General features: G+C 38.8%; 1 annotated feature.

Moving 5' to 3' along the window:
• Positions 287–456: an enhancer, noted in NCBI's record as "experimental_22809 CRE fragment used in MPRA reporter constructs". NCBI's record gives its function as "activates a minimal promoter by MPRAs in K562 erythroleukemia cells, with activity observed for both the introgressed and non-introgressed 12:102368409 variant alleles {active_cell/tissue: K562}" and the evidence as "EXISTENCE:reporter gene assay evidence [ECO:0000049][PMID:34662402]".

Genomic DNA, 13,292 nt, shown 5'->3' on the forward strand with positions numbered 1-13,292 from the left:
CCAGCAACTTTGCTTAGAAAATTTCAATGTCTGTATAACATGCCAATGACAGCGCAGCACTAGGGTCAATACATTTCATTATTTGGCAAGATAACCACTCATAGCAATAGATTGAAATTCAGATTGTCATTTTCATGTGTTTCACTTTCATCACAGCACACTGGATGGTTGCTCTTGACTTTTCTTGCCCTCTTGGCAAGATACTCATTTGTCAGATTATATTAAAATTTTGTTTTATCTGTTAAAGCTTAGAGAGTGAGCTAAGTGATACTGTTTTAATCCCAAATCAATATGTGTAGTCAGGTCTTGAAAGAATTCCAATCATTGTAGCCCTTGTTCATATTTTAGGTGGTTAATAATGCTATCGTGTCATTTTCCTTGGAGCTCATTTTATATATTCTGTTTGTAGGAATTATAGTGACAATTGATCACATAGCCTAAACAAGGAAATGGATGTGATATGCATTTTCTGGGTTTTGTAAGAATCTTCACTGGCAAAGTGAAATATTATATATATTTTCTTAAGCTTGGAGAAATAGAGTAGAGGTGTACTTCTCACACTTTAGTGAGCTTTAGAATCTCCTGGAGAGGTGGTTAAAACAAACTTGTAGGTCTCATAGCCAGAGATTCTGATTCAGTAGACCTGGGTAGAATTTGAGACTTTGGGATAGATTCTCAGTTGTTGCTGATGTTGCCAATTCAACTACCATCCTTTGAGAAACAATAAAATAATATGGAGTGGTCAATAGCAAAGGCTTTGCCATTAAACAATCTTGGGCTTAAATCCTGCTTTCTTGTTTAAAGATTTGTTGATTTGAGGTAATTTATTTCCACTATTTTTAAGCCTTTGTTTCTCATCTGCTCATTAGGGGTTTTGTATGTATTAAATAAAATGATGACTGTCCAGCACTTGATATAGTGCTGATAATAAATGACAGCCACAGTTATTAGAAATGTGGTCATCTCTTTTGCTGGGATCTGTCTGGTTAACCACGCAGTGCTTCTGCTTCATATCTTGGTGTATTTGGCAAATTATTTGTCAGTTATGTCTAGATTAGGAGTTATCTGATTAGTGAGCTAGCAGCTATTCAAGACTTGAATTGCTCAGGTGGGCCCCAAAACACTTAAATATCTTTATCTTTGGGCTCTCCTTAAACAGGAACTCCAACTAAACACTGTACTAACATTTTGTTTGGTTCTGTCCTTTAAATTATTTTCCATGTAAATAACTTTATAGTTCCACAGTTATGTCTTCTTATGAATGATTTTTAAAAAATGAACATCAGCTTATTTTCAAAATCAAACTCAAGTCTTTGGAGACTAATATCCTTTCTCTCCATATTTTGCTATTAAGAGGGCTGGTGTTCTGCCAAGGCAACGTATTAATAAATTTAAGCTTGAGATTTTCATTGTCATGCGAACGTTGAAATTGGCCCTCAATTACACAAAGCAGCCAATTCAGCAGGATACGTGAATTGGATTTATAACGAACACGTTTGTGAAGAATTACTTTTAAATCCCTGATTTTGTGGTTTATTTCTAATTCGTTCAAAAAGCATGATCCAGCAGTCACAAAAGTCTCAGCCAATTCAGACCAAGTTTATTTTGAGAAATACATGATTTTACTTTAGTCAAGTGTTAACAAATAAATTGGTTTTACATTTAATCATTTTTTCAGTTGTTCACGTAATACTAAATCCCATCTTGCTGGTAGGCACTGGGCTAGACACTAGGGAAAACACTTCATCCTCCCACAGCCTATAGTCTAGTGAAAAAGGTAAAAGTACAGCTGTTAGAACCTCATTTTAACAGGCTGATAAGTCTCCAGTCCTTATTAGTTGATAAGTGTTAGAAAAATATTTGTGTTCATACCCAATTACCCATGAATCTATTAACCATCACCCAAAACTTCACACACTTCACTAGGTGGTGTCTTCTAGATGTGGTATCCTCCAGGGTGTCTAGCCAAAGGAGAACTTTACATTTCCTATGGTTGTATTCGTAAAATGAACATAGAGACGGCAAATCAAGGCAGCTCTGTAGTTTGCAATTAGCTGTCACTTAAACTCTCTAGCAAAATGATGTGATTGAAGACAATAACAGTCTATACATTAAACTTGATTGGGGGGATTTTCATACAATGCAGAAATTTACATTCACATGATCTGTTATGAAATGAATGTTTGTGTTCTCTAAAAATGCATATGTTGAGGCCCTAATCCCTAATGTGATGCTATTTGGCAATGGGGCCTTTGCTAGGTAATTAGGGCTAGACAAAATCATGAGGGTTGGGGCCCTTATGATGGGATTAGTGCCTTTATAAGAAGAAACACCAGAGAGCTTGCTCTGTCTCTCTCAACCATGTGAGGACATAGTGAGAAGGCTGCCATCTGCAAACCAGGAATAGAGATCTCACCAGAAGCTGAATTGGTTGGCATCTTGATCTTGGACTTCCCAGCCTCCAGAATGGTGAGAAATAAATGTCTGTGGTTTAAGCCACCAAGTCTATGGATTTTGTTATGGCAGCCCTAGCCAACTAAGACATGATCTTAGAAAGATCACAGGGATTTGTACAAAATTACGGAAACGCTCTAAACTTATCTCTTATTATATCCAAATGGGGCCCCTCAACCCCAGTCTGCCAGGCCGGCTCTTTACCATTGCCTGAACACAATTTGCTCTTTCTTGCCTCTACTACATACTCCTCCTTGTGCTGTTTTCTTTACCCAAAATGCCCTCCCCCAATCTTCCACTTCTAGCTGAGAGGCTCATCTTTAAGAAATCTTGCCTGATTAGCCCTAGTCCTTTCCTAAATGATCCTTCATTACAAACTTCATGTTTCACCATGCACTCACATCTATCTCACTCTATTGTGTCCTTATGTTGGTTCAAGGCTGTAGGTCTTATCTCTTCAACTAGACCCTGAGCATTCCCAAGACAAGCCTAGGGTCTAGATGTTAAAAATCTTTTGTGTCCTCCACTGGCTCTCTTAGAGTATTGTGCACATCAAATGGGAATAAAACTTACTGAATGAAAATTGGACTGGATGCCAAGAGCCAACAAATGTTCTAAGGCAAATGAATCAAGTAGTACGGGGAAGCACAATAAAACCCTGAATCCAGAGGCTGTGGGTGCAGGGTGGGGTGAGAGTTGTTCTGGATAAGTGAGTTTAATGGATGGCTGAGGATTTATCTTTTTGAACATCAAAAGTTTTACTTTTAATTATCTTGGATGGAAACATTTCCAGTATAGCAAACTTAACTGCGTTCTCAAATAGTGCATTATGAACATGATCCAGCCAGAGGACTCGGGGTTGTCATTAAAGCCTATAACGCTGAGAAGCCCTCAGGCCCCTCTGAGGTTTGCAGAACTGTTTGTCCCTATTCTAAATGGCTGCAGATTTCTGTGTTTTTATTGTTGTTTTGTTTTTTTGGCTCTTCTGAGTCCTCCCTTGCCGCTGTCCATCTCACTGATGTCCATGTGAGTGTGCCATTTCTATTCCCTGATCCTAATTTGCTGCTTCTCATCTAAAATGAGTTGGAAATCAGATGCCCAAGCTCACTGTGGTTGTTGTCATGATTATTATTGTTAGAAATGTGTGTAAACGAAGAGAAAAGGGCTCTCTGTGTGAGGGCTTGCCGGAGTCTCCATGGCCAAACTGGGCAAGAGTCAAACACATCTATGTTGTGAACGCCGAGTTTGGCTGCTCCGAAGACTTTTAAATTTATCCTCTATTCTTACTTTTCTGTTCTGAAAATAAAACTTTCTGGATATATATGTTTCAGATAAATTCAGTCGGGTATTCAACAAATAACATTGTTTGCAAAGTGCAAGATGCATGCTAGGCACTGTATGATGACCCTCTAAAATGAACATTCTATATCTGTCTGGCTCACCATTTTCTATATTGCATTAGCACAGCACAAATACTCAATAAAAATATTAGTTGAACAAATGAAATGAATCTTATAATTTGGGCAGTGATGAGATACTCACATACTACACACACAAACAAGCTTACAATGTAAACTACAGAGCAAGTCATCATAGAGATACAACTAAAGTCTACACAAAGACCAAAAGATTATTTTCTGCTGAAAAAAATCCAGAAGGACTGCCTGGAAGAGATAGTAGCTTTGACTGGGACTTGAAGGATGGTGTCATATTTCAATCAGCGAGAAGTTAGGGAAGTAAGAAAGGACAAGAACACTGCAGACAAGACCCAGATGCTAGAATGGGTAGGGTGTATTTGGGAGTTGATGAGTACATTTTGGCTGGAGAGCCTGTAGGGGAGTAGGAGGAGATCACATTATAATGTTATATTGGGGTCAGAGCATGGGTGGGCCTTGACTATCAGGCTAAAGAATTTGGACTGTGTTTATTAGGTGAAGGGAAGGAGCTGAGGGTTTTTGAGCTGGGAGGCAACATGCTTAGACCTGGGCCTTAGAAACATCACCTTGATAGAAGTTGAAATTTAGGAGTTGAAGGGAAACAGGGCTAGAGGTGATTCCAAGGGTATAGGTGAGAAGTGATGTGGGCCTGAACTAGAATGTTGGCAATGGAAACAGCAAGGCGGAATAATTGCCAACGATGCTGCAGAGGTAGAATAAGAAAACTTGGCAATGTATTTGTTGTCAGGAGTGACACAGAGGGACACATTGAGTGTAATTCCAAGTAATGTCCTTTTGATAACTTAGAGAGTCCACAAGAACAGGTTTTAGAGAGATGGTGATGAGTTTGATCTGGAATATGCTTAGGTATGAGAGTGAACTGTTGATACCTCTGCTGTAAAAACATGAATAAATGCTGGGCCTGGTGGCACATGCCTGTAATCCCAGCTACTCAGGAGGCTGAGGCACGAGAATCACTTGAACCCGGGAGGTGGAGGTTGCAGTTAGCTGAGATCACACCATTGCACTCCAGCCTGGGTGACAAGAGTGAGACTCTGTCTTAAAAAATAAAATAAAATAAAATAGGCCAGGTGCGGTGGGCCACGCCTGGAATCCCAGCACTTTGGGAGGCCAAGGCGGGTGGATCCAGAGGGCAGGAGACTGAGACCATCCTGGCTAACACAGTGAAACCCCGTCTCTACTAAAAATACAAAAAATTAGCTGGGCGTGGTGGTAGACGCCTGTAGTCCCAGCTAATTGGGAGGCTGAGGCAGGAGAATGGCATGAACCCGGGAGGCAGAGCTTGCAGTGAGCCGAGATTGCGCCACTGCACTCCAGTCTGGGTGACAGAGCGAGACTCCGTCTCAAAAAAAAAAAAAAATAAATAAATAAAAATAAAATAAATGAAATAGGCCAGGCCTGGTGGCTCACACCTGTAATCCCAGCACTTTGGGAGGCCAACGCAGGTGGATCATTTAAGTTCAGGAGTTCGAGACCCGCCTGGCCAACATGGTGAAACCCCATCTCTACTAAAATTACAAAAATTAGCTGGGCTGGTGGTGGGCACCTATAATCCCAGTTACAAAGAAGGCTGAGGCAGGAGAATTGCTTGAGCCCAGGAGGTGGAGGTTGCAGTGAGTCGAGATTGTGCCATTGCACTCCAGCCTGGGTGACAGAGTGAGACTCCATCTCAAAAATAAAATAAATAAAAATAAAATAATAAAAACATGAACGGAAACGACACTGAAAAATACTAAAGAGAGAATTAATACTCACAAAATGAGTGCTTATGTGGATTCAGGCCACAAAAAGGCATTAGAAGGTCCATGTCTCATTTTTAGTCCCTTCTTGATAGGACTATGGTAAAAAGTATTAATTCTTCTTTTCAAATGCTTCCAAGTGAACCTTTAAAATAAAGCTTTTACTTCTTTTTCTAAGAGACTAGTCTTGATAAGACGGAAGCATTAATGCTCTTCAAAGTGTGAGCATTTTTGGACTAGCTCATGGAAGTAGCTGTAGATCCTCTCATCAGAAACAAAGGTGTTTTTGGATTAGCAGGGCAACTCACCAGGAATAAGTAGGGAAGCTAAGACACTGCACTGGATTTCATAGAATGGATGTGTAGGATTTTGACCTGTAAATAAGAGGGAAAAGTTCATTCTAGACAAAGGAAACTGCGTATATAAACCTGGTGTGATAAGAATGATAAGGCATGGTCAAGAACTGGCAAGAAGCGATTTCCATGTGGCTGGAGCACCTGCAGAGAGAGCATGGGGAGATGCTGTACAATTAGGGAACTAGATGGACACTACGCTACTGATGTGCTGCTGGAAGCAAATGAGGATCTGAGCAAATGAGGTTATGAATGAAGCTACTGACCAGCCTACAGTGGCACTCAATGTGTGCTCGCTAATAGGCTGTTCATGTTGACAACAGCTTTTGGCCCATCAGAATTGGATGAGCCTCCTCTTAGGTTCAAATCAGCTTCAGCAGTAGGTTGTGGGAACAGAGGCCTTGAAGTGGGAAAGATTCCAGAAGATTAATATTACAGCCAGCAACCAAGATTCACTTTTGGCTTGGGGCACAATTTTAATATAGAAGACAAAGGGAAGCAAAATGCCATCTTGTAACATGCATAGCACCCTAATCATTCTGGACAGGAACATATCAGGTCCTTGGGGGTCAGTGAGGGGGATAATATAGTTTCTAAACAAGTCCAAGGGGAAAACTGCAAGGGCTATACACCAAAGAGACTCTATTCCTTTTTTAAATGCAGTAGATATGTCAAGCAATTCTATCCTGTAGAATTGCTCTCTCCAACATGGTAGCACTAGCCACATGTGGCTATTGAGCATTTGAATGTGACTAGTCTGAATTCAGATTTGCCGTTGAGTGTCAAATACAGTTTACCATATTTCAAAGACTTAATATGAGAAAAAAGTATAAAATGTTTCATTACTGCTTTTTGTACCAGCTACGTGTTGAATACAATTTCAGATATATTGGGTTAAATAACATATATTATAAAAATAAATGTTTCTTTTTACTTTGAAAAATATAGCTTTTAGACAAAATTAAAATAACTTCTATGGCCTATTATACTATTGGTCAGAACTTCTATAGAAAGTTCATATTGCAATCATAAAATTGCTCTATTTCCTCTGATTTTTCTGAACTTTTTTCCTCTTAGGGAACTTGCCAATATGTGTACTAGGAAGAAATTCAAACTGTAATAAACAGGTTAATGCATTCTTATCTATTGTCTAGGATTGTTTATCTGCATTTTAATGTTTCCATGGAGATCAGTGCAACTGCAGGCTCGTTTTGATAGCCATGGTGTTCAGTACAGTTTGCATATTATAAAAATTATTTAAACAAGAAATTTGAGATGGTTTATTATTTGGGGACATTAAAAAGCAAAAAAGTCAAGGAGGGGAAAAGGTCTCATAATAATAACTTTCATGTCAGGCAAGTTGTAGTCTGACATGTTCACATCGAGTCAACCTTTTTAAAGAAGAGGTTATTGCAAAATACTCTTGCAAAGAGCTTGGAGCCAATATCTCTATTAGAAGATCACATAACAATAGCAAATTCTCAAGAAACAGTACTTGAAGGATCATTTTGCTTTCACATTGGTAAACAGCAAGCAACTTCAGAAAGGGCATTCCTGGATTCAACTGCAGGGCTTCCAATTATTATTACTTTCCTGTGGACTAGTGGAAATTGTCATGTTTGGTCATAACACTGACATTCAGCTTAATTTGTCTTAATTTTGCAAACCTTCCTGCTTCATACCAACAATCTCCCATGATTCTACAAATTTGGTACGTGTTAGCATTGAACAGAATGTGAAATAGCCCCAAGGAGTCTCCACCAATGAAAATAAACTTAAGCAAGGGTCTGAGACATCCTGTAAAGTATTTAACTACATTTTGCAAGGCTCTTTGCATTTAGGAAGTAAGTTTGCTTTTAAATAGAAGTGGTCTCTTTAAAAAAGCAAAGCATTATTCACTGTTTCTGAAGTGTAAGCAAGCAAAAAAAAAATTCAAAAGTTAAATAATGACTATCCAATTCAAAGGGAAGAGTTACAACCTGAGGCGTGCCTACCACATGGAAGGTCTGCGGTGCTTTAAAAAAGTTGGGAGCAGTTTAACTATGTATATGGACAGTCTGATAGTACTTGGTAGACAGTGAACATTTTGGAAGAACGGGCAGTTCCTAAATACCTGTCACCAGGGTTATATTGCAGAGCGAGATGGGACTGAAAGATTCTCATGTCAAGCCTTTAATATCAGCACAACAAAAATGACTTCATCTGTGCAATTAATGAACAAGCTGTTCCCACTCGTGTAATAGTTCCAGGAGAAACTTATTTTGACTTTGATTTGTCCCGGTTTTCCTCTGCACTGAATGTTGTAACCTTGTCGACTAAAATCTCTTGGCCTAATAATTACAGTCAACATTGAAAAGCTCTGCCCTCAAATTATTAGTACAAATAAAAGGAGGGAAAAATAAATTAAACTTGGCCCTTCCACCCCCATGTGATGGATGACATCCACCTGCACCTTGGAAGTTTTGTGCTCGAAATGTTTCAGCACTTTTTCATCTGGAAAATCAAACTAAGTTTCTGCTAATAAATTAAATTTACAGAGTTGTGTTTTGCTACTACTATCATTGCTTTACTAGCCTGTTTGGGCAGTGTAGTTCCTAAAGTTGAAAAATAATTGCATTCTTTTACTTAAACATAAGAAACTCTAAGAGATCCTTTTCATTTCCATTCGGTTTCAACTGTTTAAAGTGAGATCGCTTCCAGAAATGTATGGTTACTGTGAGGGCAATGTATAATAAGAGCTAAATTGTGACTTGAGCATCTCACCTAGAAGAAAACTTTCAGTTATTAACATGCTATGTCTCAGAAAAAAAAAAAAAAAAAGGCTGTGTGTTTTAACTTTGACTCAACAGTAAGCCCAAATAAGCAAACTTATTGCTCTTCTTCATTGAAAACTGAAAAGAAATATCCAAAAACCTCTCTAAACAAATCATACTTCCAGTCCTGATCTATCTTGCTAGTGATAAGCCCTCGGAGTCTAGGGACTACAATTCAAGTTGTTAAGTGAAGCCAATTCCTTCTAGGACTTAAGGATCTAGATTTATTATTCTAAAGTAAAAAATAAATGTAGAGCAAAAGCAATACATCAGGAAATGCTCCCTTTAAAAGCAGCGGTGATAAGTCGTTTATGCTGTGGCTGTCTGCTGGTACTCTCACTAAATTCCACTTTAAGTTGAGGAGAATATGTTAAGAGAATATATTTAAGTGAAATTATTTTCACTTAAAATTCATTTTCATTTAATTCACATCTGATTCTTTTAATCCAAATAAAGTGTTATTTTTTCTTTTAATGCTGGAATGATGTATGCAATTCAACTCTTGTCATTTCAAATTACAAACATGCCAGTAGGGATAAAAGAAGACCAGCTGTAGTGAGGATGGAGGGAGCCTAAATGCCTACTATGTGCTAACACAGTTAATAACTTTGAACTGAATTTACTTTATTCTTCTGATTTAAGAGACAATTTTACCCAAGACATTTTTTTTTTAAGCAGGTAGCCTGGTAGCGTGTAAGAGACAGAGGCAATATGCCAATACTAGCCATTCTCTAGCACTTTCTAGTGTTCAGAGCATAAATTATAATGTGAGACCAGGGCCACGCTAAATTATTTTGGCAGATCAGATGTACGAATCATTTCCTCTGAGGAAAATTTAGGCCACTGGATTAGACTACTGTTTGATGGGTACACAACTGATGAGAGATTCTGCTCACAAAGATATCAGCAGATTAAGTCAAACAGAGGAATCTACAGTTTATTTAGGTCCTCTCTTGGAAATTTTTTTCTAAACATTTTAAAAGTTCTATGGAAGGCCGGTTGCATTGGCTCATGCCTGTAATCCCAAAACATCGGAAGGCCAACGTGGGAGGATCACTTGAGCCCAGGAGTTCAAGACCAGCCTGGGCAACATAATGAGACCCGTTTCTGAAAAAAAAATTAAAAAAATAAATTTTATGGAAGTATGTTAACCACACCAAGATGGATATAGGAGAGTCAATATTTCAGGAGAGTAAATGGAACTGATAATGTTTACTTCCTAAATGCAAATGGTTAGAGAAATGGTTAGAAGTAAAAGAAAAAAAGTTTATTGAGGACAATACTGAAGGAAGCAGACCTCATTCATTCAAAAAATATTTAATGAATGTCTACTATGTGCCAAGTTCTATTCTAGGTGCTAGCTTAATTTCAATAAGCTCACATTCTAACTAAATTTAAGACTCTAATTGAAGTTAAAACATTGAAGTTTCACTTATGGCCATAATAGAGTAGCCAGAACAAAATTTGCCCTCCTTTCTTAAAAAATTAAAAATTGGTCAAAAATCTATGAGACAATGATTTTCAGACATTAGAAAAAAGGCATTCCCCCGAAAGGGAAAAAAAAGCCAGGATGAACCTGAAGAATGACCCAGATTACTGGCTAAAGAATTTCCAGGTCACTGCACAGGAATGGGAACTAGCCTAGTTTGGTGATCTCCCTGAGCTGAAGAGACAGAATTCAGAGTTCAGAGAGGCCAAGGCAGCTAGACTTCATAGAGGGGCGAAGTACAGGATAGAAGGAAGCTGCAATGAGAGAGAGAGAGAGAGAGAGAGAGCTCCAGATATCTGCAGAGGGTCCCTTTGAGTCTTTAGGTGAGTAATAATTAGTGCATAAATTTGAGGAAATTATCAAGCTCGAGAAGAAACCACTGAAAAGGAGCAGGTAGAGCAATACTTGGAGCACACACAGGGCTGGGAATATTTTACGTTCCCATGAGCTACAGTAGAAAGACTTCTTAACACAAAAGAAACTGAGTGGAGCCTTCCAAAGGATATTGCCTCAATAGTAGTGTCAAATTATCCCGAGACTAAAGGCTGTTCTGCACCCACCAAACAAAGCTAAAGAGCAAGCCTTGAAAACATCACACCGTTTTCAAGTAATTTTTTTTTTTTTTCAGATGGAGTCTCACTCTGTTGCCCAGGCTGGAATGCAGTGGTGTGATCTCAGCTTACTGCAACCTCTGCCTCCTGGGTTCAAGTGATTCTCGTGCCTCAGCCTCCTGAGTAGCTGGGATTACAGGCATGTGCCACCATGCCCAGTGGCTAATTTTTGTATTTTTAATAGAGAAAGGGTTTCGCCATGTTGGCCAGGCTGGTCTCAAACTTCTGACTTCAAGTGATCCACCTGCCTCAGCCTCCCAAAGTGCTGGGGTTACCCGCTAAATTACTTGCCTGTTTGCAAGTAATTTAACTGCATTCTTGTGCAAAGACCAAAAATATTGAAAGGATTACAAACATATCCAGCATCTCTCAAAAAATAAGTTTACAATATCTGACATTAAATAAAAAATTACCAGACATGCATGGAAGCAGGAACATAAGATCCATGATGGGAAGAAAATCAATAGGAGCAGACTCAGTGACATAGGTGATGGAATTAGTAGACAACAACATTAAAACAGCTAGTATAAATTTATCCCATATGTTTAAAGTGTATGAGGAAAGCATGAGCGTGACAAGAAGAGAAATGGAAGCTATGAAAAGAGACCCAAGTCAAACCTCTAGAGTTGAAAAGTGCACTGAATGTAGCTGAAATTAACAGCAGATCAGACATCACAAGAAGAAAAGAGCAACGGACTAGAAGTTCATAATAGAAACTACCTAAAATGAAGTCTGGGTGTGGTGGCTCATGCCTGGAATCCCAGTACTTTGGGAGGTTGAGTCAGGCGGATCATCTGAGGTCAGGAGTTCGAGACTAGCCTGGCCAACATGGTGAAAGCCTGTCTCTACTAAAAATACAAAAATTAGCCAGATGTGGTGGTGCATGCCTATAATCCCAGCTACTTGGGAGGCTGAGGCAGGAGAATTGCTTGACCCTGGGAGGCAGAGGCAACAGCGAGCCAAGATCACAGCCACTGCACTCCAGCCTGAGTGACAGAGTGAGACTATCTAAAAAAAAAAAAAAGAAAGAAAAGAAACTACCTAAAACGAAACACAGAGACTAAAACATTGGGGGAAAGCCTGTGCAACATTGCCAAACCCTGTCTGTACAAAAAATAAAAATGTTGGCTGGGCATGGTGGTGTGTACCTGTAGTCCCAGCTACTTGGGAGGCTGATGTGGGAGGATTGCTTAAGCCCTGGAGCTGAGGCTCCGGTGAGCTACGATCATGCCACTGTACTCCAGCCTGGGTGACACACTGAGATCCTATCTTAAAAACAAAGAAAGAAGCAAAACCAACCAAACAATAAAACAGTTGGGGGAAAAAATGAATAGACCATCAGTGAGCAAGCTATGGGCAACATCAAGTAGCATAACAAGTATAATTGGAGTTCCAAAGGGTGAAGAAAGGAAGATGGGGACAGAAAAAAATATTTAAAGAAACAATGGCTGAAATTTTCCACATTTGATAAATTCGGAGCATGGCTTAAAAGATACAGGGCCTTTTTCTCATCATAAACCACTACTTCTGTTGTCCTTTCACCTCGAATGCTCTTGCTCTGTTTCTTCACCTTCACCTAACACACTTTCAGAGTAATCCTCTAAAAGAACATTCCTAGACCCGTCCAAATGATTTAGTCTTTTTCTGAACACTGAAACTTTTTGGCCAGATGCAATGAATACTTGTTTCAATGAATACCTGAATTCTTGTTTGCAATGAATACTTGTTTCTATAGTTGACTTTTTAATTTGTATGCATTTTTAAATTTGCCATGTTTGTATCTTTCCTCCACTCAAGCTTTGGATTCTGTCTTCTTCCCAATTCACAAGATACTTTCTCCCTCAATTCTCTTCTTTTCCTGTTCAGATCTCTACGAGCTTTTGAAGTATAAAAGGTTTAATGGTCAAAAAGCCTACCATGACCCTTCTACCCCACTTGACTTCTGGCTGTTTTATCTTTTCCCCTCACACCAAGGCACTGAAAAGATTTCTGTATTTTTTTCATACCCCATTTATACCACAACATGCTACCATATGGCTTCCATCTTCATCATTGCCCCGAAATTTTTCTCATCAAGGTTACCAGTGACCTATTTGCTACCAAATCCAGTGTATTCTTTTAGCTTAATCTTTGTATTTTTTCTCCTCTTTTTTATTTTTAATTTTTGTCAGTACAAAGTAGGTGTATATATTTATAGACTACATGAGATATTTTGATACAGGCATGCAATGCATAATAATCACATCAGGGTGAATGGGGTATCCATCCCCTCAAGCATTTATCCTCTGTGTTATAAACAATCCAAGTATACTTTTAGTTAGTTTAAAATGTACAATTAAATTACTTCAGACTTACCCTGTGGTGCTATCAAATACT

This window comes from Homo sapiens, chromosome 12 (assembly GCF_000001405.40).
Source record: "Homo sapiens chromosome 12, GRCh38.p14 Primary Assembly".
Taxonomy (NCBI): Eukaryota; Metazoa; Chordata; class Mammalia; order Primates; family Hominidae; genus Homo; species Homo sapiens.